The sequence below is a fragment of the Homo sapiens genome, chromosome 9, assembly GCF_000001405.40.
Source record: "Homo sapiens chromosome 9, GRCh38.p14 Primary Assembly".
Taxonomy (NCBI): Eukaryota; Metazoa; Chordata; class Mammalia; order Primates; family Hominidae; genus Homo; species Homo sapiens.
This window is the reverse complement of record NC_000009.12, coordinates 85,546,319-85,573,324: the sequence shown is the minus strand read 5'-3', so window position 1 is coordinate 85,573,324 and position 27,006 is coordinate 85,546,319. Positions and strand designations below refer to the sequence as shown.

General features: G+C 38.2%; 1 protein-coding gene across 23 annotated transcripts in view; it reads left to right on the top strand.

Annotated features, from left to right (window-relative positions):
• The window catches only part of AGTPBP1 (ATP/GTP binding carboxypeptidase 1), a 258,945-nt gene extending 232,159 nt beyond the window's left edge, over nt 1–26,786 (top strand). For 20 of the 23 annotated variants that reach the window (XM_047423094.1, XM_047423090.1, XM_047423089.1 and 17 more), the window contains one exon: nt 26,039–26,786. In XM_047423094.1, coding sequence (XP_047279050.1) covers nt 26,039–26,216 — 178 coding nt within the window. In that variant the 3' untranslated portion in view covers nt 26,217–26,786. Of the gene's footprint in view, nt 1–19,052; nt 21,644–26,038 lie in introns of those variants that run through there. The other 3 variants (XM_017014545.2, XM_011518418.3, XM_047423098.1) reach the window with 1 other exon arrangement.
• Nucleotides 26,787–27,006: the final 220 nt, after the last annotated feature.

Here is a 27,006-nt window from a genome sequence, read left to right as displayed (position 1 = left end):
AGACCAGCCCGGCCAACACAGCGAAACCCCGTCTCCACCAAAAAAATATGAAAACCAGTCAGGCGTGGTGGCGCGTGCCTGCAATGGCAGGCACTCGGCAGGCTGAGGCAGGAGAGTCAGGCAGGGAGGTTGCAGTGAGCCGAGATGGCAGCAGTACAGTCCAGCTTCGGCTCGGCATCAGAGGGAGACTGTGGAAAGAGAGGGAGAGGGAGACCGTGGGGAAGGGGAGGGGGAGGGAGAGGGAGAGGGAGAGGGAGTTCATGTCATAATTCTTAATCATAATGCCAGAGATTAGCATTTTATGGTTTTGTGTATATGGGTAACAATAGTCTCATTTTATAGAACCTTCATGATTTTTGTTGTTAGGTATTAACTTGTCATCAAATTTGTTAATTTATTGCTCTGCCCTGTTGTATATGTCAGTATAGTAGTTTTAGGTGTGACAAACATTACTTGGAACTCCATTCCTCATAAATGTGATAATTTAGACAAATAATCACCTGCATTCTCTATCCTTCAAAGTACCTCCTAAACAAGAATAGAAATGAATATAAAAATTGTCAATTCTCACTGATATTTAAGCCTCCTTTTAACTTTTAATTCGTGTATTCTTAACATGTAGTCAACAGACCGTTACTGGTGCTTTAGATATACTGAAATATCGTTTATGCTTACTAATACTTCACAACTATGGTTATGATTAGGCCCTCCACTGGTCTTATTGTTTTAAAAGGAGTATATATATTTTGAAAAGCACATATTTTAAAGAAATCACATGTACTGCTATATCACAAATATGTTTTTAACATTTTGATAATTATATTTCCATATAATCGATTTCCTTTGTAATCATATTTATTTTGTTTTATATATTTAAAAGTATTATGAGAAGGAGTTTATAGGCCTCATCAGACTCTTTAAGGGGACTGTGGCACAAAAAAGGTTAAGAACTCCTCATCCTTATCATTGCATAAATATAAAAATACAAACCAAGCCAGCCGCAGTGGCTCACACCTGTAATCCCAGCACTTTGGAAGGCCGAGGTGGGCAGATCACTTGAGGTCAGGCCAGGAGTTCCAGACCAGCCTGGCCAACATGGCGAAACCCTGTCTCTACTAAAAATACAAAAATTTAGCCAAGCATGATGGTGTGCGCTTGTAGTCCCAGCTACTCGGGAGGCTGAGGCAGGAGAATCGCTTGAACCCAAGAGGCGGAGGTTGCAGTGAGTTGAGATCCTGCCACTACACTCCATCCTGGGTGACAGAATGAAACTGTGCCTCAAAAAAAAAAAAAAAAAAAAAAAAAAAAAAAAAAAAAAAACACACACAAACAACTAATAATGGCCAATTACAAATTCAGTTTTCTTTTGAGATTTTACTGTAGCTCTTTCTCCTGTTTATTGATGTAGGCAAACTAGTCACTTCTTCCTCCATGCTATCATTCCTCTTTGTCTATCTCAAATGAATTTTTTACATACTTCTGACTTTTCCTTGACTTCTGTATCCTGATGCTTTTGAGGATTAAATGTTCTCAATCTGAGTCTGTGTGTGTTGCATGATTATATTCAGATTATGCATCTTTGGCAAGACTATCATGGATACTGTGTGCTTCTCATTGCATCTTATCGTAGAGCGCAGTTTTAATTTGTTCCATTACTCAAAATATTCCCTTTGATCATTTAATTAAGATGGTATCTGCCAAACTTCTCCATTATGAAGTAGTTTTTTCCTCTTTTGTAATTAATAAATATTTTAATGGGCACGTACTTTGAAACTGTCAGTATTCCATTTTATCATCCAACTTTTAATTTATTCATCCTTAAATTTGTATGTATGGGGCTTATGATTTATAATTTTAATTCAGTGAGTTTTAATCTATTACTGCCATTGTTTATTTTGATGCTCAAAATTTTCCTGATTTGGCCCCTTCAAACTTCTGTTATGTTTTTTTATATTTCCTCATCATTCTTTGCGGATTTCCTTGCTTTTTGGCAGAACAGGATTTCCCAGGCTATCACTGCATGTTCTTTATCTCAGGGTTGGAATCATCAATCATTTCTTCAATGCTTCCTGATTCCTTTTGGTGGAAAACGGTATTTATATGTAAGCCTCGGTGCTAGTAGTTATTTATTGCTTTTGTGATGTTACTGCTCCCAAGTTCTCTTGGTAGACAGAGCTATAGAATATATTTAAGTATTTACATACATGAATTTATATATATGTACACACATGCATATACATGCATGCTCAAATAAAGACAGACATAACCTAAAAATTCTGAGTTCACAGTGATATGTTCCATTCTGATTCTACACCTAAGGGTTAAGTCTAGTTTTTAAATTAAATGTCTAATTCCCTTCCTTAACAGTGAGAAACCTGGCTGTCATTATCTTGAATATTTTTTTCTTACTTGATCAACCTGCCTGTGTGTAACTAATCTTCTGTCTCACTGCTCTCTCTCGGATGCCTTCCTCACCCTGCTTAGGCTCCAACAATCCAAAGGGAGGGAGCTTTTTAAAAATTATTTTTGTAATCTCAGTGTCTTTCATGTAGTAGCTATTCATTGACCAATTATGTTCTATTAATGAGTCATTGTGTTTAGGTATTTATTGCAACCTATCATGGGCAGAGTGTTGAGCTAGAATCTCTGCAAAAGTAGAAGAAATGGGAAATGAGAGCTCACGTCCTGAGGGGAGTCGATAGTATGATGGAAAAAGCACAGTTTATGTTTGTGAAGTGGCATGATAGTGTTATAAAAGAGTACAAAAATAACAGTTAAAAATTACATAGACATTTGAAGAAAAAGAGTGACTGAGTGAAGGCTGGATTTATCTGAGAGAGTTTTTCCCAAATCATTAGGTTTTAGGGTAGGGCTTGAAAGATAATAGTAGATGAGGTTTGGTAAAGAAATAGCAGCTGAACGTGAAGGAAACAAAGTTAGCAATGGAAAATACAGTAGCCTCCTTATCCTTGGCTTCACTTTCTGTGGTTTCAGTTAACCGTGGTCAAATGCAGTCCAAAAACATTAAATGGAAAATTCCAGAAATAAACAATTCATAAATTTTAAATTGCATGTTGTTCTCAGTAGTCTGGTGACGTCTCCTGCCATCCCACTCCATTCCACCTGGGACATGAGTCATTGTTTTTGTCCAGCATAGCCACACTATAGACACTCTCTACCCATCCCCTTTACCCCTTAGTCACTTAGTAGCTGTCTCAGTTATCATATGGAAAAAAACAGATATATGGGGTTTGTTACTGTCCACAGTTTCAGGCATGAACAGAGGGGTCTTGGTCTTGTCCTCTGCAGGTAATAGGGGACTACTGTAGACTAGGTAAGGTGGAAAGACTTATCTGGAGCTTAGAAAAGTTAAGGCTGAAGAAAACATCAGAGGAGCAAGTGTTCAGTTCTTTGCTAATGAGTATAGATTTTATAGAAGAGGAAATAGTAATTGTATATGTCTTTAAGTATGGAATGATAAATGATCCATCCTATATGAAAAATGTATTAATTCAAAACATTTAGAAGCTTATAGTAGCCTGGGACTTCTATGATGTAAGCAACAGCTAATGTGGTACTCTGAGGAGAGTGGTGGCTGCAGAGCTATCTGGAGTTGTTTTTTGAGGTGGATACTTCCAGTGTAATATGACACGCTACTAGCGTACAGCTATTCAGCACGCTGCTTCTTAAATGTAAATTTGTTGTTATTGTTTTGTTTTTCATATAATACAGATAGAGTAAATAAGGGGAATGAGGGAGGTTCTGATTGTGGGCTGAAGATAAAACTAGCCAGCTTTATAATTTCAGATCAGATCATTAGTATATACTTGCTGCTTTTAAGCCTGCTTCCCCCCACCCAATACAGGTTGGCAAAACTTTTTTCCTTAGTTACTGCTATTTATTATTTTAATATCTTATTTTATAGTAATATAATATAGTATATTCATTCAGCTATTCTTTTTCTTGCTCTTGGAAACTTTTCAGGAATAAGTGCAAATTCTTGTCATTATTTACATTATTGGTAATGTGATGTGGGGGATGTTGTACTATTTCTTATCTTTACCTCCTTCTCTTAGCTGTTGATATTTGTCCTTTAGTTGTGCTCTGCATCAGTGATCACTAATAAAAGTTACTTTGGTAACAACAGCCATAGTTAATTAACACAGGTCACTTGGGTTTATTTGTTGAGGGGGGAAACAGGGGTGGTGTGTTCATAAACTTTCCTCTGAGCATTTTTTCCTTCATCTTCTTTTGCTTTTTCTCCTCTTCCACTTCTCAATTTACCTGCTTTCTGTGGGTGATATTCATTCCTGTGAGTTTACATTCTATCTGTATGTTGACAACTCCAAAATACTTACAATCTCCCAGACCTGTGGATCCATCTTCCAACTTGCTTATGTACACCTGGACACAAAATTAACTGGTCTAGAACTCAGTTTGTGACTGCTGCTCCCATAGCAAACCTGTTCATTCTTAGCCACCCCTGTCCACCCAGATGCTCATGTCTTATTCTTGGCATTTTCCTCTCGCTTACCCTTAACCCAATCCATCACCCAGAACTTTTTGATTTCTCTTCTGAGATATTTCTCAGAGCTTTCATTTCTCTCCATCACCTTTACCATTACAGTAGTCCAGGCTGCCATTACCCTTTGCCTGAACAACTCCAGTAACCTTCTGACTGGTCTTGCTCCATGTACTTTACTTCTGGTATCCTCCAGCTTCTTTGCATGCACTAGTCACTCGTGTGCTTAGAAACCATTATCGGTGTCCCAGGTGTGTAATGGAATATATCCATTATCAGAGTCTCTGAGGTCCAGCGTAAGTCACCTACACCTTCCTCTCCTCTTTGAGCTTGTCCTACTCTCACTTTGTATCCTTATCATTCTAACTGCACTGACCACCCTTGAATTTTCAGAACAGTGCTTCTAAACCAGTTATGGCAAAGGACCAGTTTCTGTTTTACAACTTTTTCTGTACTGATACTTGAATAAAAATATAAGAATGAAACACTATGAAAATGGGAGAGAGGACCCCAAAGAATACAAATATAAGTGCTAATTTATTATTATTAGATCACCAGACCTATAATTTCTGTGTCAGATTGTTATAAAGGTTTCTGAACACTTCATTTCAGTTTCTGTACTTTTGTCACCATGGGCCAGTAACAAAGAGTTTGTGGACCACACTGGTCAATGGACCACACCTTGAGTAGCCTTATTTTAGAACAGATCAGTCTCTTTGTCACCCTAGGGTCTTTGCATTTTTGGTTTTCTCTACCAAAATGTCTGTGCCTCCACTTCTTTAAGATTTTATTCTTATCCTCAATCTGGTTCAGTTTCAGTACATTATGTTTAGGAGTAGACTTATTTTTAGTTTATCTTGCTTGACACTTAATAGGTACTTTTAATTTGAGGACTCTTGTCTTCAGTTTTGAAGTTCTCAACCACTTTCTCTTTGAAAATTGCTTCTTTATCATTCCCTTTATTCTGTTCTTCTAGAATTCCTGTATTGGAATTTCTCAGTCTGTTCTCCATGCATATCTCTTAACTGCTTTTTCATGTTTCCTTTTCCTGCTACAGTCTAGGTAAATTCTTCAGTAGCATTTTATAATTCACCAACTACTCCCAGAACTTATCTCCTGGGAGATTTTTCTTTTAATGACTATGTATTTCTCATCTAATTTGCTCTTTTTTGTTTCTGCATTTATTTCACATTTTCTTTCTTCTTTTTTTTGAGACAGGGTCTCATTGTGTCACCCATACTTGAGTACAGTGGCGCGATCTCGACTCACTGCAACCTCTGCCTCCCAGGCTCAAGCGATTCTTCTGCCTCAGCCTCCCTAGTAGCTGGGATTACAGGCATGGACCACTACTGCCTGGCTAACTTTTGTATTTTTAGTAGATACGGGGCTTCACCATGTAGGCCAGGCTGGTCTTGAACTCCTGACCTCAAATGATTCACCTGCCTCAGCCTCCCAGAATGCTGGGATTACAGGCGTGAGCCACCACACCCAGCCCTCACATTTTCTTGTATATCCTATGGCCGTTATTCTTTCCTTCTTTGAAGACCCTAAAGACTTTTAAAGTCACTTGTGGATTGTGCTGTTTATTTTTATTGTGTTGGTAAATTCATCCACTGTTTCTCATGATCCTATAGTTTGCAGGCTCATTTTAAGTAGAGTCCCCCACTCCCAGGCCTTTCAAGCCTCTCCCCGTAACCTCTTAATGATTTTGTGATTCTTTCTACCTGGCCCTCTCAGGGCTCCAGCACAAGTTTATGGTAGCATGATACTAACATTTCAGACTTCCCATCCTTCAGTGATTGGGGATTTTCCAGGACAAGTCACTGAGTTCATGAAAGTTCTGGCTGTGATTCCCTCTGTCTTTTCTTTCTGACTTTATAATTGCAATGCTATAAAGTCTTTAGCTTTAGGCAGAAGTCTCAGCCTTATTTTCTCAGCCTCCTTTCTAAAGTGGGAAGCCTTACTCCAGCTGCTGCATTCACAAGTCTGAATTTAGTTCCCTGCCTGTAGGGCACTTTGTCAGCCTCTCTGTTGCCTTGAAGGAGCTACTGCTGCCTGCATTTGGACCTGGCGGCACACCCATGACCTGACTTCGTGATTCTGTTCTTTTTCCGGTCCAAGGAGATATATATCTTATTTCTATATGCATATGTGTCTTTTTTGTCATCCTATTTTGTATTTTACCTAATCATTGCTCTGTCTTTGGGACAGGGATAACAGGAACCTGAAAGTGTGTACTTTTCTATACCAGCCTTTTTTTTTTTTTTTTTTTTGAGACATGGTCTTGATCTGTTGCCCAGGCTGGAATGCAGTGGCATGATCATAGTTCACTGCAGCCTCAACCTCCTGGGCTCAAGCAGTCCTCCCATCTCGGCCTCCTAAGTAGCTGGGACTACAGGCACATACCACCACACCCAGCTAATTTTTTTTGTTTGTTTGTTTTTTCAGTAGAGAGGGAGCCTCCCTATGTTGCCCAGGTGGTTTTGAACTCCTGGGCTCGAGCAGTCTTCCCATCTCGGCCTCCCAAACTGCTGGGATTACAGGCATGAGCCACTGTGCCTGGCTTCAATACCAACTTTTAAGAGAAGCCTTTTGCTCACACTTTGCCTGGCTAACTCCTAGTTAACCCCAGAGACTATATCTGTGCCCTTTAGTGCAGAGACTATATCTGTGCCCTTTAGTGCTGCATAATGTGCCATTCATGGTACCTTGCAATGTGTGCCAGTCACATATTGAGTTGAATAAGAGGTAGGTAGCTATGTCAGATTTAAAAATTCAATTGAATTAGATTTCTGGGAAGAGCACTGTCTTATAGTGCCCAAATTAACCATGTAAGCACATTAGACTTTATCCTTTAGTCATTTGGGAGTTTTAAAGCCACTGGCAAAGTATGCCACTATTTTACCTGAAAGAAGTATATGCATTTTTTTGAAACTGGGAAGGTGGAGGCAAAAAAATTCTTAAGGAAGGTGTTTGGAATCATTTACATTTGAGACGAGGATGAGTGCTCCAATAAGAATAGTGAGGATAAGGGGCAATGATTGCTTGAGGAGATAGTATTAGGTAGCATTGGAGGGTCATAATGATGAATATGGAATCAGTAGGGCACAGGCATTTGGCAGCATGGAATCAGTAGGGGAAGACACATTTCCAAGTGTAAGTGAAAAGGGTAAATGACAGTGTTAGAGATGGAACTAGGAGACCACTTACCTTTTACTAAGATCACCCCCCTGTCCTTTTCTCTTTATTGTCTGTGCTCTTCTGGATCCCTTCTTTGTCCTTGTAATTTTTAATCTATTTCCTGGTCGTAATGTGAAACTGAGGTATCAAGTTAATGAATATAAATTCCCCTAACTTTTTTTTTAGTTGAGTTCACCCTTTCATAATTTTTCAAATCCATCTTTCCCTGCCAGAATTTTGCTTTATTCAACCTGTCTGCAGTGTGGATCGTGTTATTCCACAACTTAGCCCTCAATTCAGTTTTATCCTTCTTGGTTTTAACTATTTCCCGAGATACAGTATCTGTTATAAATTAATTTATTTTCATTTGTAGGCAATGTATATCAAATAAGCTTGAATACTTGCAGCAATAAGAATAAATATTTACATTAAATGTCTTTTTCAACATAAGTAGTAACTCATTGACAGATGTTGTCCTAGTCAGCTCAGGCTGCCATAATGAAATACAATAGGCTGGATGGCTTATAAATGACAGAAATTTATGTCTCACAGTTCTGGAGATTGTGAAGTCCAAGAGCAAGGCAATGGCTGATTTGGTGTTTGGTGAGGGCCTGCTTCCTCATAGGTGGCCTTCTTCTCACTGTAACCTCATGTGACATAAACATTCAGTTCATTACCCTTCATCCCTGTTCCCATCCCAAAATTCATGTCCTTCTCACAAGCAAAATACATCATTTCCATCTCAATAGTCCCAAAATGTTCGCTTATTCCAACATTAACTCAAAAGTTTAAAGTCCAAAGACTCATCTGAATATAGTCATGCATCGTTTAACAATAGGAATACATTCTGAGAAATGTGTTGTTAGGTGATTTCATCATCGTATGAATATCATATAGTGTATTTGTAGTAACCTAGATGGTATAGCCCATTACACACCTCGGCTATATGGTATAGCCTATTGCTCCTAGGCTACAAGCCTGTACAGCATGTGACCGTATGGAATACTATATATAATTGTAACACAATGGGAAGTATTTCTGTATTTGAACATATTTGAATATAGAAAAAGCACAGTAAAAATATGGTATTATAATTGGGACCACTGTCATATATGCATTACATCGTTGACTGAAACATCATTGGAGCATATGACTGTGTCATTTAAATCAGATATGGGTGAGATTCAAGGTATAATTTGTCCTGAGGCAAATTTTCCTTTAGCTGTGAGCCTGTGGAATCAACCAAGTTAGGTGCTTCTAAAATACAATGGTAGGACAAGAACAGGACAGACATTTTTATTCCAAAAAGAAAAAGAAGTGACAATTCTTGAGCATGTCCAAAACCTGAAGGCTTGAAAATGATCTTTAGCTGCATTCTCTGCTCTTCAGGCCCACTGGGGCTGCCGTTCCACCTTCTGGACACACTAGAGTGGAGGCTCCATCCCTGCAGTTTTGCTGGCCATTGGTTGGATCCCTAAGCCTCCAGGCAGTCCTGCCCCCATGGCTTTGCTGGGCCTTGCCCTAGTAGCAGCTCTTTGTGGTGGCCTTGCCCTTGTGGTGGTTCCTTACCTGGGTGTTGTGCCTGTGGCTCCATCCTTCGATATCTAGGTGGAGGTAACCATGCTTCCCAGGCTGGTGAATTCTGGGGCTCAGCAGAGACAGCACACATGGATGCTGCCAAATGCCTGTGCCCTCTGAAGTGGTGACCACTGCATGTGTACCACACCTGGGCCTTCCAGAGCCTCACCTTGTGCTGCAGAGGAGCAGGGTGCCAGACTGCAGGGAGTGGAGTGTGTGAACCTGCAGGCACAGGTGGCTCCTCTTTTGAAACCACTCTGATGATCTCTGAATTGCCTGTCAGGGAGGGTGGTCGTTCTTTTCTTGTCTTGGACAATAGCTCCTGGCTCTGTTTATTTGGCTGACTTTATGCCTTATCAGTTGGTCCTTTTGCTACACCCTTGGTATTCTCTCCTCCCAAACTGTCTTTCTCGTTTGTTACAATATAGACAGGGTGAGAGTTTTCCAAATTTTTAAGTTCTGCTTCCTCTCTCGTGAATGATTCCATCTTTAATTTCTCTTGTCTTGCATTTTACTATAAGCAATCAAGAGAAGCCAAGCCATACCTTCAACAGTTTGCTTAGAAATTTCCTTGGCCAAATATCCTCATTTTCATCTGAGACCTCATCAGAATGGCCTTTACTGTCGTATTTCTACCAACATTCTATCAGGATTATTAAGTATTCTTTAAGAAGTCTGAAGCTTTCTCTATAGCTTTCCTGTTTTCTTTCTGAGCCTCACCAGAATTGCTCTTTATGGGCCATTCACAGCCATGTATCCCTTTTGTAGCAAGCACCTCCATACTCTTACAGCTTTTACTCACTACCCACTTCCAAAACTGCTGCCACATTTTTACATGTTTGTTACAATAGCACCCCCAGTTCTTGGTGTCAGTTTCTGTCTTGGTCTGTTTGAGCTACTGTGACAAAATACCGTACACTGGATACCTTATAAACAGGAGAAATCTATTTCTTACAGTTCTGGAGACAGGGAAGTCCAAGATCAAGGCATCAGCAGATTCAGTGTCTGGGGAGGGCCTTGTTCTTTGATAGACAGTGGTCATCTCACTGTAACCTCATATGGCAGAAGGGTTGAGGGATCTTTATGGGGTCTCTTTTATAAGGGCACTAATCCCATTCAAGAGGGCTCTGCTGTTGTGACCTGATCACCTCCCAAAGGCCCGCCTCCTAATACCATCACCTTGGGAATTAGGATTTCAACATATGAATTGGGATGGGAGGGGGGATGTAAATATTCGCCCAATTTCAGATATTATATAATTACTCTTTACAATACTGTGAACCATCAGGTTTTTTGCATATAACATTTAAGTTTTGTTTAAATAAACTAAGAAAAAGGTAAGAGACTTATTCAAAGTGAATTTGTGATAATTATGAAAAATAAGTTGCCAGTCGTTCCATTTAGTTTCTACACCATTGCTTTGGTGAAAGATAAATTTAGTTTTATAAATAACAATGGAGATTTAAAGATTAGATGTAAATTAAACAGAGCTTAAAACTACTAATCTATAAAATTATTTTAATTGGAAAAGCTTGAAACTTCTGAGTGTGTGAGTTAATATTACAAATTTGACAGAATCTTAACCCTGCTGGTGTTACTATGTATGTAAGCGTAAGCTATCTTTTTGTTTAGTATTTGTTTTTAGCCTTTTGTGTCTTTATATTTAAATATGTCTTTTAAGCAGAATATAGTTATTCTTTATCAGAGCATTTAGTTCACCTACATTTATTGTAATTATTAACATATTTAGGTTTAAATCTACCAGATTATTATTTGCTTTCTATTTGTTCCATCTGTCCTGTATTTTTTTTTTTTTGGCTTTCTTTTAGATTGGTAGATTTTAGATTGATTTTAGATTTATATTGGTTTTATTCTCTTAACTGATTTTAACGGACACTTGGCATTACTTCATGCAGTCTCACTTTATCAAACTCTTAATATAAAAGTGTATTTTTGGGAGGCCAAGGTGGGTGGATTAGGAGGTGAGGAGTTCAAGAGCATCCTGGCCAAGATGGTGAAACCCCATCTCTACTAAAAATATGAAAATTAGCTGGGCGTGGTGGCAGGTGCCTGTAATCCTAGCTACTCGGGAGGCTGAAGCAGAGAACTGCTTGAACCCGGGAGGCGGAAGTTGCAGTGAGCCGAGACTGTGCCACTGCACTCCAGCTTGGGTGACAGAGTAAGACTCCTTCTCAAAAAAAAAAAAAAAAATTGTACTTTTATCTTTTTTTTTGGACAATACAGGATTCTTATAACATTTGAAGTCCATTTAACCCCCCTCAACGTATCTGTTGCTGTTGTTAGATACTTTCAGATACTATGAGTATTTTTAACTTTACAGATATTATTGTTTAATGCAGTCATTAGCTCTCACCACGCATTCCACCCCCTGCTCTTTTTTCTCTTCATTTTTTTCCCTACATTTTGGGTTTTATCTGAGATCATTTTTCTTTTTCCCAAAGAACACTGCTATCTCTTCACCTTTACTTGTTGAGGGATATTTTCAGTGGCTGGAGAATCTAGGTGACATTTACTCTCTTTCAGCACATCAAAGATATGGATTCTGTTGTCTTCTGTCCTCCACTGTTAGGATGTCAAGTTAGCTATTTGTCTTGTTGTTGCCCTTTTGAAAATGGTCTGTCTTTTTTTTTTTTTTTTGAGATGGAGCCTCACTCTGTCACCAGGCTGGAGTGCAGTGGCATGATCTTGGCTCACTGCAATCTCTGCCTCCCAGGTTCAAGTGATTCTCCTGCCTCCCAGGTTCAAGCGATTCTCCTGCCTCAGCCTCCCAAGTAGCTGGGATTACAGACATGCACCACCACACCTGGCTAATTTTTGTATTTTTAATAGAAACGGGGTTTCACCATATTAGCCAGGCTGGTCTTGAACTCCTGACCTCATGATCTGCCTGCCTCCACCTCCCAAAGTGCTGGGCGTGAGTCACCACACCCGGCCGAAAATGGTCTCTTTTAAGGCTAAGTTGCTTTTATGAATTTCTCTTAGTCTTTCATATTTAGGAGCTTTACATAGATATGATTTTCTTTTTATTTTGCTTGGGGTTCCCAAAGTTTCTTAAATTTGGAGCTTCATGTCTTCTATCAGTTTTGGGAAATTCTTAGCTATATTCTCTTCAAACATTGTTCCTGCCTTCATTATCTCTCCTTCTGGGACTCCATTTATGTTTGCGTATGATCTTTTCACTATATCCTCTGTGTCTTTTATTCTCTTATGAATAAATTTCTATCCTTTTGTCTCTCTGTGCTTTCTTCTGGATGTTTTTTCTAACCCACCTTCTAATTCACCTATTCTTTCTTTCACTGGGTGTTATCTGAACTTTCTTTAACTGGGTGTTATCTGACATTAAATTTATCTTTTTAATACTTAATGTAATTAATTAAGGGGTGGGAGTTAGGAAAAATATCTATCTACAAAGACTCCTTAGGGGATTTTTTTTTTAAGTTGAGAAGTATTGCCTTAGGGGCATAAGCCAGCATTTGGGAAGCTCAATAGGATTTACTTTCGAGCAGACTTTGACTTGCGCTCCCCACTTGCACCCTCATTTTCTGGATTGTACTTCTGCTACTTCTGCCTTTTGGTCCTATGTGAGTAGCCTCTCTGAAGCATCTTTTGAAAGCCAACTTCCCATCTTTGTGAAATAGGAGATGGGCTGAAGAAGGGAATTTGAAGGTCTAACTCCTCTTTATAAATCTTTTAGCTGGTTCTTGTTTTCAATTCCACCCTAAAACCCATTTGTTAAAAATAACCAGTGTCTCTAATTGCTGAACTTTTCTAGGGCTTTGTAATGTAAATCAGCATTTTTTTTCCCTTGATTTCCCTTCCTTCCATAGGTACTTAGCAAAGTGAAGGAAGTTGGAACTCAAGACCATTAGTTTCATCCATCTGCTTCCACCTGCCTCCATCTTCCAACATTTTGTTATTATCTCTTGTTTGCTTTTGATACTGGTGGGCTGGAGGGGGTCTCCAAATGCTGGTGGGACCTTGACCCCAGCCAGTGTCTGTGTCCCCAGGCTCTTGACACTATCACGCCAAGGAATTGAAGGATGAGTCAGAAAATAGTGAAAATACGGAGATTTATTGCAAAACAAAAGTACACACTCAAGAAAGGGGACTGCAGGCATAGTCGAGACAGTCCCACAGTGGGGTTTGGGATTTTTATCTTTATGGATTTCTTTAATCAAAAGGTGGAATATTCGTGAAGATAACTGGGAAAAGGTGGAGATTTCTCGGAACTGTTGTGCTACCCACTTTTACACCAAATATGGGTGTTCCTGGAACTGTCATGACACTGGTGGGTGTGTGACTTAGTATGTTCATGAGCATATGATGAGGTCCTAGGTGAAACCTAGGTCAATTCCAGTGCTATGTTGGGTCCAGTTGGTCAACCTGGTTTTTCAGGGTCTTATCAGTCCCTAGTTTCTGCAGCCATTTCAGCAGTTTCTTTTTTGCTGGTCATGTGAAACTGCTGCCTGGAATTTTCTATTCTCCTGTGACCACCCTGTGTTATTCCTGTCTCATCGTTACCTCCTCTTGAATTTATTTTCTCCCTATGAATTTATCCTTAAAAAAAAAAAAGATTTTTTTTTTTTTTACTGTCATCTTAGTAGTATTTGAGAAGGGATCAGAAATAAATGCTTTTGTTAGATCCTCTGTGTTTACCAGAAGTTATAGAACTTTCTTTTCAATAATGCTCACTGTCGACTATTCATTATGTTATATATTCCCAGGGCATTTATTGGTAATTGCCAAACAAAAGTCATTTTAATTTTACCCATTTGTGTTGTATAATAAAAATTCCATCTGATGCAACACTACATTTTTCCTGGGGTAGGTGTTTCTCTTTCAGGTCAAAGCTGGAAATACTGGTAGGACTCATAAAAGCAAATAGCTATGTAGTATTTTTGTGCTTAGCAAAAGTCATTTTTATTTTATCTATTATCTGAACTATTAAACAGTTTCAGTGACCTTCATTTAAATGATTTGAGAATGAGACTGATGAAACATTTAATAGTTATTTATTAGGATATTGTAGTGGTGACTAAATTTCAGGATATCAGGTCTGTGGATGAAGTATTTGAAGCTTGAGCATGTTTAAAATACTATAGGATGGCCAGGTGCAGTGGCTCACGCCTGTAATCCCAGCACTTTGGGAGGCCAAGGCAGGCAGATGTCTTGAGTCTAGGAGTTTGAGACCAGCCTGGGCAACGTGGTGAAACCCTGTCTCTACAAAAAATACAAAAATTAGCCTGGCCTGGTGACAGGTGCCTGTAGTCCCAGCTACTCGGGAGGCTGAGGTGAGAGGATTGCTTGAGCCCAGGAAGTGGAGGTTGCAGTGAGCCGAGATCATGTCGTTGTATTGTACTCCAGCCTGGGTAACAGAATGAGACCTTGGCTCAAAAAAAATTATAGGTAAGTGAAGTTGAAAGATAGCAATATCTACACAATGTTTTATCATAATTAAAAATATACCCATGTTTAAATGAAGCCTAATTACTGACATATAATCAAAAATACTATTTGGATCTAGTTTTTAATTGAGATGAAATTCACAGAGCATAAAATTAACCATTTTAAAGCAAACAATTCAGTGGCATTTAGTATGTTGACAATGGTGTGCAGCCATCAATCACCCTGTCTTGTTCCAAAACCTTTTTATCACCCCCAAAGGAGACCCTCATACCAATTAAGCAGTCACTCCTGGCCCCTGGCAACCACTGATCTCCTTTCTGTCTGTATGGATTCACCTATTCTGGATATTTCATAGAAATGGAATCATACAATATGTGACCTTCATGTGTCTGATTTCATTCACTTAGCATGCTTTTGAGGTTCATCCATATTGTAGCATGTGTCACTACTTAATTCCTTTTCATACCTACAGCATGGACATTAGAAAATTTGATGAGAAATTGTTCCTGATGCAACTAATAAATATAACTTAAGCCAAAGAAAGCCTTTAAAATACTTAGCATTAGTTATATTTTGTTTTAACATTTTTAAAAAACCTAATTTGGTATGTTTTGATATTTTTCGAATAAGGTATAGGGAACACTATGAGTCTGTGGACCAGTTACCATCATATTATTTTTCAGCTAAAGTCTGTAGTCCTGTCCCCAGCATTATGAGAGAGACTGAGTGGTAGATATTGGTAAAATAGTACAAAGATAATAGTTGCTATAGACCGTTAGCAAACACTAGAATGAAATGTTAACCTCTGTTATCTGTATTTTCCTTATGTGAAGCTAGTATTTGTTTGTTTATACATATATAGGAACTCTGTCTTCTGAGAAAATTAAATTAATATAGGTAATTCTTGGCTAAATGTTAACAGTAGTGTCTAATACTTAGCTATGTGGTAAAGTTTACTGGTATTAATGTGCCTTATTTTTAATGTATAATTTACCATTTAATTAAGCAAATTAAGAAAAAAGATTTTCCTTTCTAATAGCTGTGGTACACATAACTTGAGTCTGGTTTGCATTTCTGGGAATCATTTATTGCTACTACATAGAAAATTCTTAGCGCTGTAATTACTACTGAGATTTTTCTGGGCAGATAAGTCATGTAATTGGAGATCATATCATACCTTCTTGTACTTTGGAAATCGTAGTTGCTTATAACTAAAAGTGCTCCATTTGTATTTGTGCTGAGTAGATGAAATGCTGTTGTACCCACAAATAGAGAGATTGAAATCATCCAGATAAATAAGTTTGGGACTGATGTGAGCACCTCGGGATCCCAGACCAGATTTGATTATAATGAAAGCTTTGAGCCTTGTCATAAGTAAATGATCCTTATAATTGAGATGTAGATAGGTATCAAATTAGTGATTATTAGTCTGGAAGACTTAGCTATGTAAGGAATTTGATGATTGTATATGTTTATGGCTATTTATATTTTTGGTAGCCTCTTGGGAGAAAAAGTTATTTCTCTCACAATAAGTGTCTGAGACTTCAAAATAAGAATATATCAGCATAAGGAAGAATACATATTTAGTGTTATATTCATATTAGAGAAGAATGTATATTCTTTAATTGCTGGTTGTAGGATTCCATATATTCCTGATAAGATCAAGTTTTTAAATCTGTGGTTCAGATTTTTCACATTGTAATGGTTTTTGGATCTGTTTGTTCTATTAGGTATTAAGAGAGATGTTTTCAGGTTTCCCCTATCACTGCGAATGTGTCCACTTTTCCTTTTAAGTTCTGTCAATTTTTGCTTTATGTATTATTATAGTAGATGTGTAGAACTTTTGCTTCATTACGTCATTCTGGTGGATTGATCTCTTTATCATAAAATGTCTCTTCTTTGGTAATGCTTCTTGCTTTAAAGCCAGCTTTGTTTTACATTGGTGTAGTTGCCCTAGCTTTCGTTGGTTAGTTTTTGCATAATATCTTTTCCATCCTTCTAGTCCCAGTTTTCTCTTTATATTTAAGATAGGAATCTTGTATGTACCAGGTAATTGTATTTTATAATCCAGTTAGTCATCTTTGTCTTTTAATTGGAGTATTTACTCCATTTCCATTTAATGAATTACTAATACAACTGAGCTTGTAAGTTACTGTATTTGTTTTCTATTGGTTTCACTTGTTTTATGTTTTTTTCTCACCTTCTTTGAGATTAATTCAAAAAGTTTTATTGTTATTCCAATTTTGTCTCTCTATAAGCTTGTTCCATTCTCTTTTGCTGTTCTTTTACTGGTACTCTAGAGATGATAACATGGATATTTGGTTTATTAGAGTATAATAAAAATTACTCTTCTTGCCTCTTCACAGACAATGCTAGGATCTTCAGATGTGTTCTACTCACCTTTTCACCTTTTGTGTTATTGTCATATATTTTAATTGAACTCCATATATTTTATTATTTTTTATTAGTAGTATTTTTTAAACTTCTAGGTTCAGCGATACATATGCAGGTTTGTTACATAGGTAAACCCATGTCACGGGGGTTTGTTCTACAGATTATTTCCTCGCCTGGGTACTAAGACTAGTTCCCAATAGTTATTTTTTTCTGATCCTTTCTGTTCTCCCACCTTCCACACTAAAGTAAGCCCTAGGGTTTGTTGAACTGAACTCCATATATTTTAAATCTAATTACACATTATTAATGTTTTAGTTAGTCACATTCACTTATATTTACTTTTACATTGTTCTTCATTTCTTCCTCTATTTCTGTGTTTTGGTTTAAGATTAATTTTCTTTTAGTGCATGTCTGCTTACAACAAATTATTTCCATTTTTATTTATTTGAAAAATTTCATATTATTTCACCTTCACTTTTGAAGACTGTATCTCCAGTATAGAATTCTAAGTGGGTCTTCCCCCTAGTGCCACCTCGCCCCCCTCGCTGGCACTTTAAAGATGCCACTGCATTGAATTTGAGCTTCCATTGTTTATGTTGAGAAATCAACTATCTTTTTTTGTTTTTGAGTTGGAGTCTCATTCTGTCGCCAGGCTGGAGTGCAGTGGCACGATCTCGGCTCACTGCAATCTCTGCCTCCTGGGTTCAAGTGATTCTCCTGCCTCAGCCTCCTGAGTAACTGGGATTACAGGTGCCTGCTACCACACCCAGCTAATTTTTGTATTTTTAATAGAGACGGGGGTTTCACCATGTTCCCCAGGATGGTCTCGATTTCCTGACCTCGTGATCTACCCGCCTCGGCCTCCCAAAGTGCTGGGATTACAGGCGTGTACCACTGCACCCGGCCTACTGTCTTATTTTTTACTCCTTTGAAGGCAATGAGTCTTGTCTGGATGCTTTTAGGTTTTTCTATTTCTGGTTTTTAGCAATTTTGCTATGAGTGCTGAGAGTTGGTTTTCTTTGTATTTATCCTACTTGGGATTTGTAGCCCCTCCTAAATTTGTGATTTGAGTCTTTTGTTGTTTTTGGAAAATTCCCCACCCTTAGCTCTTCAAATGTTGCATCTGCCACATTCGTTTTTCCTCAGCAGGTTTAATTTATGTGGAGATTTAAGTTTTCTATCCTTTTTTTGCTTTCTTCCCTTCAGTTTGGACATTTTCTACTTACCTATCTCTGCTTCACTAAGTCTCTTTCCAGCTCTGTCCAAAAGACAGTTTTAAACCTATCTTTGAGTTCTTAATTTCAGTTATATATTTTTCATTTCTAGGTTTTCCATTTGATTCTCTTTAAATAGATTAATAGATGGTGAAATTCTTCATTTCATCGTCTGTTTGGACATATTAATTACAATTATTACTTAAAGTTCATGCCTGAGAACCCCCATACTGAACTACCTTTGGGTCTGTTTCTGTTGGAATATTTTTCCTGTTTCTATTTCTTATGTGTGGTAATATTTGATCAGATGCCAGGTATTATGTATAAAAACTTCAGAGGCTCTAGATATCTTCCCTCACAGAAGATTCATTTTATCTTCTGGGAGGCTTTTAGAGTAGGGCAGATTGCCTGAGTCCAGAGAGCCCCTGAGTTTCCTTAAGGTAGGGTTGCAAAATGTATGAAACCTCTTTGAACTCTTGGTTCACGCCTCCTCCTGGCTTTGTAAGCTGTAGCCCTCCAGAGGTCACAACTGAAGGCCTAGGCTCCTCCTCTCCCCAGCACCACAGGACTACCAGAAATTTCTGTTGCTCACTTGTTTATTTTTTGTTTTGGTTGTTTTGCTGCTTTATGCTTTGCTTTTTAGCCTCTTGTACTATGTAATTTAAAAATTTGTCAAATGTCTTTAAGGGAAAACTGTCAAGTGTTGAGGTCACATCTCTGCACCTCCCTTCTTTCAGGAACCTTGGCAGCTCTGAACTTCAGTTTTTGCCTCCAATCCTTTGAAATTGCTGAAAGCTCTGATGACTTCTCTGCCTCTAACAGCTGCCCTTGCTTGGCCTGGGTTCCACTGGACTTTGCCCCACGCACCTTTTTTTCTTTGCTGATTTTGCTTTGTATCCTTTCACTGTAATAAGTCATAACTGAATTCAACTGTGTGCTGAGTCCTGTGAGTCTTCCTAGCAAATCACTAACCCTATGGTGGTCTTGGGACCCCTGATAAGCATGTTCATTCTGAATTTCTGTAAAGGTTGGTTATCCCAGAGGTTCTAATGTTCTACTGAGAATGATCAGAGACAGATGGTATTATGATCCTTTTATGGATGTGTGCAGCTGAGGCTGAAAGAGAGAAATTTACCTGAGGCCATCCATCTAGAAATTCCGGTCAGAATCAGGAGTTGGATTGAGGTCTAACTCTAAAATTCACGTTCCTTTATTGTATCTTATATCCCCCAAGTATGTAATCAAAATTAATAGAATATAATGGTTTCAGTTTTTGAAATGCTCTTGTCTAATTTGGATAATTTAGTCATTTAACACTTTCATTATGTGTAAGGAATGTTTTAGTTCAATGGCAAAATAGTGACATAGTTAATTGCTGCTTCCCAAAGCCAGCTTAGTGATACAGCTAAGTGATACAGCTGCTCCTTGACTTACAGTGGGATTATGTCCCGATAAACCCATCATAAGCTGAAAATACCGTAAGTTAGAAGCCCGTTTCCTACACCTAACTACCAAACATCATAGCTTAGCCTAGCCTACATTAAACATACTCAGAACACTTAAACAGTAGCCTGCAGTCAGGCAAAATCATCTAAGGCAAAGCCTGTTTTATAATAAACTGTTGGATATCTCAAGTAATTTATTGAATATTATACTGAAATAACGGAATGGTTTTGCACCATTGTAAAGTCAAAAAATTTTACATTGAACTATTACAAGTCAGGGACTGTATTGTACTTTTCAACAAAAGTACAAATAGATTAGCAAATTTCTTTTTTTTCCAAATAGACATATTCTCTTGTTGGATATTCTGTATGCTAGTTATGTGTGTGTATGCATGTACGTCTATATGCTGTAGCCATTTAAGCCTGACAGAAATTGTTACTTGCATTTTCTATGGATAACTTTGTTTACTTTGTGATATTTTTAGGAGATGCTATATTTATCTCTCACAAGATAGGAATAAAATTTTATAAATTATATAAATGAAACATCTTCTGGTATTTGTACAAATAGAAAGATTTTCTTTCACCCTAAATCTGACATTTCAATACAAGAAAATCAGACACAATCAGCAATTCACCAATTGCCAATAATTTAGGCAATGGCATATTTTTCTGTTTCTGCATCATTTTCAAAAATTTTCCCCCATGATATTTTATTATGCTGTCTTAAAACAGGTAGGTTATTCTCAAGAGTTAAGAGTTCAGAGTTAAAGGAGGGTTCTGAGGTGCAAAGGTAGATGGAGTATTTTTCATCCTATTGGCTTGAGACAGGCCATTGCCTGGGTTCTTTAGGAATTGAGAAAGGTTGATTTACTGTTTTCTTTAACAAGGTAGGTTTTATTATTATCATCATATGAGCCCAGCAACTTTGTGAGATGGGTGAGACTGATATTGTTATCTCTGCTTTACACTGAGAAACCTGTGCTCAGAGAGAGGAAATGGCTTGTTCTGGGTCATACAACTGGTGAATACAGTAGAGGCACAACCCAGAATTTCCAACTCCATGGGCAGTGTTTTGCTTTCATCATGCCTGTTGTAGGTCATGGAGCCGAAGATGTACATTCTGGTGTCTTGGATGGCAAATCAGCTCTCATGGAAGGAGATGGCATAAATTTGAGGGAGAATGGTGAATTTTTTAGGTTTAGTTTTGTGTTACACTTAATAGCTTAATGTGAGGGTAGCCAGAAAACTTTCTGAATCTGCATAAAGTAAACATTTTTTGTTCTCTTCAGAAATCAGTTGGAATTATAAACCTTTTCTGCATCATAATGATACCATACAGCAGAGAATTTCAATGCATTCATCCTGTCAGAAAGGCTCTTTGGGTGAAAGTTTTGATGTTTTTCTTGAAGCAGCATGACAGGATTTGGTTTTGGACTAAAATTCTGTTTTCTTTAGAATGAAATATTTCTTAATTGCTTTTGGCTTAGTCTATTCAGAGTAGAAGGATAGATGTTAAGGCAGGTGTACACAGGGCAGCTGTCAGAAAAGGATGCAGGACAAGCCAAAAGGAGTAAACTTATCTGAAGAAAATGGGGGAAGCAAGGAAACAGTGGCGTTAAAACAAAGTAATCATGACAAGAAATAATTAAGTACTGGTTAGACTTTTTTTTTCTTATGATTGTAAGAATTTTTGGACTCCTATCTGCTTATTTAAAGCGATTATTTTATAAACATAGGGCAAGTGACCTTGAAGTCTTTTTTTTCAGTGAAGGTTTTGTGAGAATCATAGGAAATAATGTCTATGAAAGCATTTCCTACATTGTAAAGTGCTCAAAACATACGTTGAAATTATTAATAAAAGCAAAGATGAATTGCTGTGATTGGTCTTGTGCCTTGAAGTTTGTTCACTAAAGTAAAATCTGTGGGATAAAAACTGAGGATCTCGTCAACCTCAAGGCTTTTCATAAAGAGTTTAGCAAACATTTATTGAGGTGCCTGCAATGTGTCATGCCCTTCTGGAAACTGACAGGAGAGATCAGATGGGTAAGTCACAGTTCTTGATCTTAAAGGCACTTGTGATTTAGTACTGAGAATATAGGCACACAAATGAGTGCTTTCAATTGCATACATGAAGTGATCAGATAGAATGTGCAAGGTACAAAGGGGATATAGAGAAGGGACACATATTCCAAGATGAGCTTTAAGGATGAACATCTGAAGATGAGACTGAGCTGTGTTTTGAAAAACTAAAGAGTATTTAGGGGAAGAAAGATGTGAAGTATACCTGTATTTGTCCATTATAAAGGTATTCCTTTATAGCAACTGGGTACTTATAAACTGAGACCGGGTAATTTATGAAGAAAAGAGGTTTAATTGGCTGGTGGTTCTGCAGGCTGTACAGGAAGCATGGTGCCACCGTCTGCTTGGCTTTTGGGAAGGTCTCAGGGAGCTTTTACTCGTGGAAGGCATAGCGGGAGCAGACATGTCACATGGCGAGAGGGGGAAGTGCCACACTCTTTTAAACAACCAGATCTCGCATGAACACAGAGTGAAAACTCATTACTGTGAGAGACACCAAGCCATTCATGACCCAAACACCTCCCACCAGGCCCCACCTCTGACACTGGGCATTACATTTCAACATGAGATTTGGAGTGGCCACACATCCAAACCCTATCAATACCTTATGCAGAGGAAACAGTGCTGGTGAAGGCTTGCAGTATGAAATGTGAGGCATGGAGTGGTCAGGATATTGAGTGGCAGGACTTGCTTGTAGCGAACTTTGGTTTGCATGACTCACGGAGTGAATGTTACCGAGCATACTGGAAGAGGATTGGGCTTGGTGGGGAGAACGGTGAGTTTTCCAGATGCTACATTTGAGGTGCACGTGAGACGGTCATGGGACTATATCTGGCAAGTCCATGCATGTACGGAAGTTCCATGGAGAAGTTGGGGCTAGAAATTTGGATTTGGAAATAATGAGAATACAGAAAATAGATGAACTTGTTCAAAGAGGGCATGCTTATAAGAGCTGTTGGCTAAGAAAGCATTTTTATAAATACAGTGCCTAGGTTTGAGGAATGCATAGAGGATGAGGAGCACATGATTACCATTGAGAAGGGACAGAAAGGAATTAAGCAAACTAGAATAGAAGGGTATCAGAATTTTCACCACCAGGAAGCACAGTGGAGAGAGCTAGTAAAAATGGACTGGAAAATGGTGATTGGAATAGCAGTCTGAATGCTGGTTTTAGTGGAATGTTGGGGGATGTAATCTTCTGTTTTTCTCTTTCCCCTGTCTCAGTATTTATTCCCCTAGCTCCTTCCAGATCCCCTGATATCTTTCTCTCTCTCTCTCTCTCTCTCTCACACACACACACACTCACAAACTCTTGTACACACTTGTGTATACCTCTTTGCACCGCTAACTTACTCCTCTTTGCACACTCAGCCTGACTAATGTGCCCGAGCTAGCACTGGTGGGCCCATCACAATAGCTCGATGTGTGCTGTATACTTCAGCTCCAATGTAGACCTTAATGAAGCTGTGGCTAGGAACATGATCTTATTAGGACCTGGAGAAACAAGAGTCAAATGTTAGGGCCATTGTGGGTTATAGGAGTGGAATCAGAGGAGTGGACCAGCTCCATACTCTTACTAGAATGGGTGATTTCAAGAAATGAATGGAGTTCTTCTCATAGTCAACATGATAAATGAGCCAAGATCAAGAACTGACAGGATCAGATTATTTTCCTAAGCATTTCTTGTGAAGATGCTTCTTTTATTTTCCAGGTACTTGCCTTCCAGGTTGTGCTACTTTGTCTTAAAAGTGCACATCAACACCTGATACCAACATTGCTCTAAGATTCCTTCCTGTCAAGGAAGCTAAACTTATTTAGCTCTATCCTGGGCATCCTTCTTGCTCCTAAATCATACTTCTCTCATTCTGTTTCCTCATTGACTTCAGCTTATAAGACTAGGCTTTTTCTGTAAACCCTTTCCTTTTGTTCAAATTGATTAACTCTGCAATATTCAGTTTCCCATGGAGAATGAGATCCTTACTCTGATCCCAGTGCAGTGGCTGGGCTCCCAGCAACCAGTTTCACTTATGCCAAGTTTGTTTTCAGATAGGGGGAAAGGTGGGCTGGAATTCCGCTGTCCATAGATCTCTTGAACGATGCGTGCTTCCCTGCCCAGCTACCCAACACATGGATTTTGTGTTCTTCCTACCTGATGGGAGACACTGGCCACTTCTTGTCTATCTGTAAGCAGCCTCTGTAGTTCTGGGTGGTTTCCCCAGACCCTGTGCTGGCACAGTGCATAACTTTTTAGTATCTGTCTCTTCCTTGCATTTCCATTATCATATCTTCTTGTTATGACTGTCTCCAGGAAGAAAATAAGTATGTGGCAAGAGAAGATTTGTCTTTTCTCCCTTCCCTCTTTTCCCTTTCTTTGCTTCAGTTAGTTTTCCATTTATTCTAAGAATCACCTGGGACTCCTCTGAGAATTTGAAATACAAACTCAAGGAGGAAGAATGAATTATTATATTTCAAAAGAAACATGGTAAGTCATTTTAAAGGGCCAAATAAGGTCGGGTGTGGTGGCTCACACCTGTAATCCCAGCACTTTGGGAGGCCAAGGCAGGCGGATCACTTGAGGTCAGAAGTTAGAGACCAGCCTGGCCAACATGGTGAAACCTCGTCTCTACTAAAAATATAAAAATTAGCCAGGCATGGTGGTGGGGGCCTGTAGTCCCAGCTAGTCAGGAGGCTGAGGCAGGAGAATTGCTTGAACCCGGAGGCAGAGGTTGCAGTGTGTCGAGATCACACCACTGCACTCCAGCCTGGGCAACAGAGAAAGACTCTGTCTCAAAAAACAAAAACAAAAACAAAAAAAAACCAAAGCCAAATAATCATTTCTTTTAATCTAACTTGTTTCTCTAATGACCTAACAGATTCATACTAAATATTTTAGTTGCAAATTAAAAACTGTGAAATTGTTCTCCTGAGTGTTAGGTATGTTGTGAAGTCTCACACAATCCTCCAAGCCACTCAGCTTGATTTATTTGGACTACTCTATCATATTGCAAGCTCTGAACTTTTAAGAGGAAGTTTGCTACATTAGATCAAGGTGGTTTTGCAATGCATTTTTCCCTTTAATGAGCAAGATTAAAGCAAGTATAGGAAAAAGGTACTCTTGCTGGATGAGTCTTGCAAACTTCTCAGAAAATTAGAGCCATATAATCTATTAACTTTCCCATCCCACCTTAACTTCCAGATATCTGGACTGAATTTCATACTCAGTTGCAGGAATTCTCTCATTTTAGGTGACTAATGACATCTGCTTCTCTCTTATTTTAACAGATATTGTTCCTTTTTCATTGTCTGATTTTATAGGTTTTAATTGCATCAGTTATAGGAAATCCTTTTTGGTAGCAGGTGGGAAATAAACAAACATACATCTATATGAAATTAGGGTAGTTTTGGTCACTACCTTAGAGATTCTAAAATGTTTCTGTAGTGTTTATTTGATATTTTGTGTGGGGGGGTGTAAATCTCACAAATGGGGAGAAATCAGAATAATGTGGTATTTTTCTAGGAAAGAATACATTACAGAACCTAGTAGAAAAGTTGTCTCAGTCCCAAACAACCTACTTCATGAAATATTTAGAAGCACTTAGTGCTTTTAAGCAAATGTCTTATTCTGTGTCCTTAGGGAAAGTAATTAATCTGGGTGTAGAGTGTTCACTTGTTTTTCAGTTTTATTCTTGACCTACGGAAACTGGTGGGGTGGGTATATGGGCTGTTTTTATGGCAGCTAATCACTTTATAGACTTAGAGTGAGTGGTTTTAGTGCATTACTCGAGAAGCCAATTAAATGCTCACAGTTTCTTGTAAGGACTATTGAAATTATATTTGCCTGATACACAGTGATTTTAGTAGAATTAAAAAATAAATCTTAGCCTGCAAATTGATGAAATCATTCAAAGAAATAACCTGATGAGAGAGTTCACTGTTTTTTAAGCTATCTATCTAATTTTAGGATATATATTGATACTCTTGTAATACAATTAATGATTCACATTTCACTGCTTATTGTCAATACAAGGAACTTTCACCTATTATAAATTTCAACTTGTTCATTTGGATAAGATTTTTAAAGTTAATGCAGCTTATATTATATTGGAATCAAAGTTAGTCCAGTATGGTGAAATAATCTTATATTAGGACCTTAAGACCTCACAAAGTCTTGTATGTTCTGTGTGTTTTGGCTGCAGCCCTACCACTTATGTCTTGGATGAAGATGAACCTCGATTCCTTGAAGAAGTTGATTACAGTGCAGAAAGTAATGATGAGTTAGATATTGAGTTGGCTGAAAATGTAGGAGATTATGAACCTTCTGCTCAAGAAGAAGTACTTTCTGACTCTGAATTATCAAGAACATACCTACCTTGAGCCCGCTGCCATCTCTTGTTAACTGCAAAGAATAAATGAAATATCTTGGTTTTTATTTCCCAGGAAGCTTGAGAGAAATGAGTTTATACAGAGCTGACTCAAAAAGACAAAAAGTAACTTGGGCCAGTTTGGTTTCAAGATAATAAATGTGTTATTAATTAATGATAAAATTGGCGCTTGTTTTATTTTCGATATTCAATGCACTTTATGTAGCATTGAATGATCAAATATTGGATTTACCTTTAAAAAAAAAACCTGAGTATCATTGCATGAATTTTTATCTCCCTATGGTTATATCCTGCATCAAGTGGATAATTTTGAAGTGTGTTCAGAATATAAAATTGAAATTTTAGAGTTGTTGAAAATCCTGACTTGTTGAAAACTAATATATATGTACATGGATTTCTATAGATGTGTTTGTTTAGAAGTGGGTAGATATTGCAGATAAGACTGTTCTTCAGAATCATGTTAACTATTGGGTTGTGACTGAAGTAGTCCAGGGTTTGCCTTGAAACCATTACATTCTACATTTACCAAATTAAACAAATAAAAACTGTATTAAATGTTGCATTCATTTTGTCATCTTCTTTAACCAGCTCAGATTATTTGATGTATAGAACTTTGTGAGAATGTGATAAAAACCCAGAATTGGACACAGTGATAAAAAGTTGTTTTTAAGAAAGTTGGCTGGGCATGGTGGCTCATGCCTGTAATCCCAGCACTTTGGGAGGCTGAGGTGGGTGGGTCACTTGAGGTCAGGAGTTTGAGCCTGGTCAACATGGTGAAACCC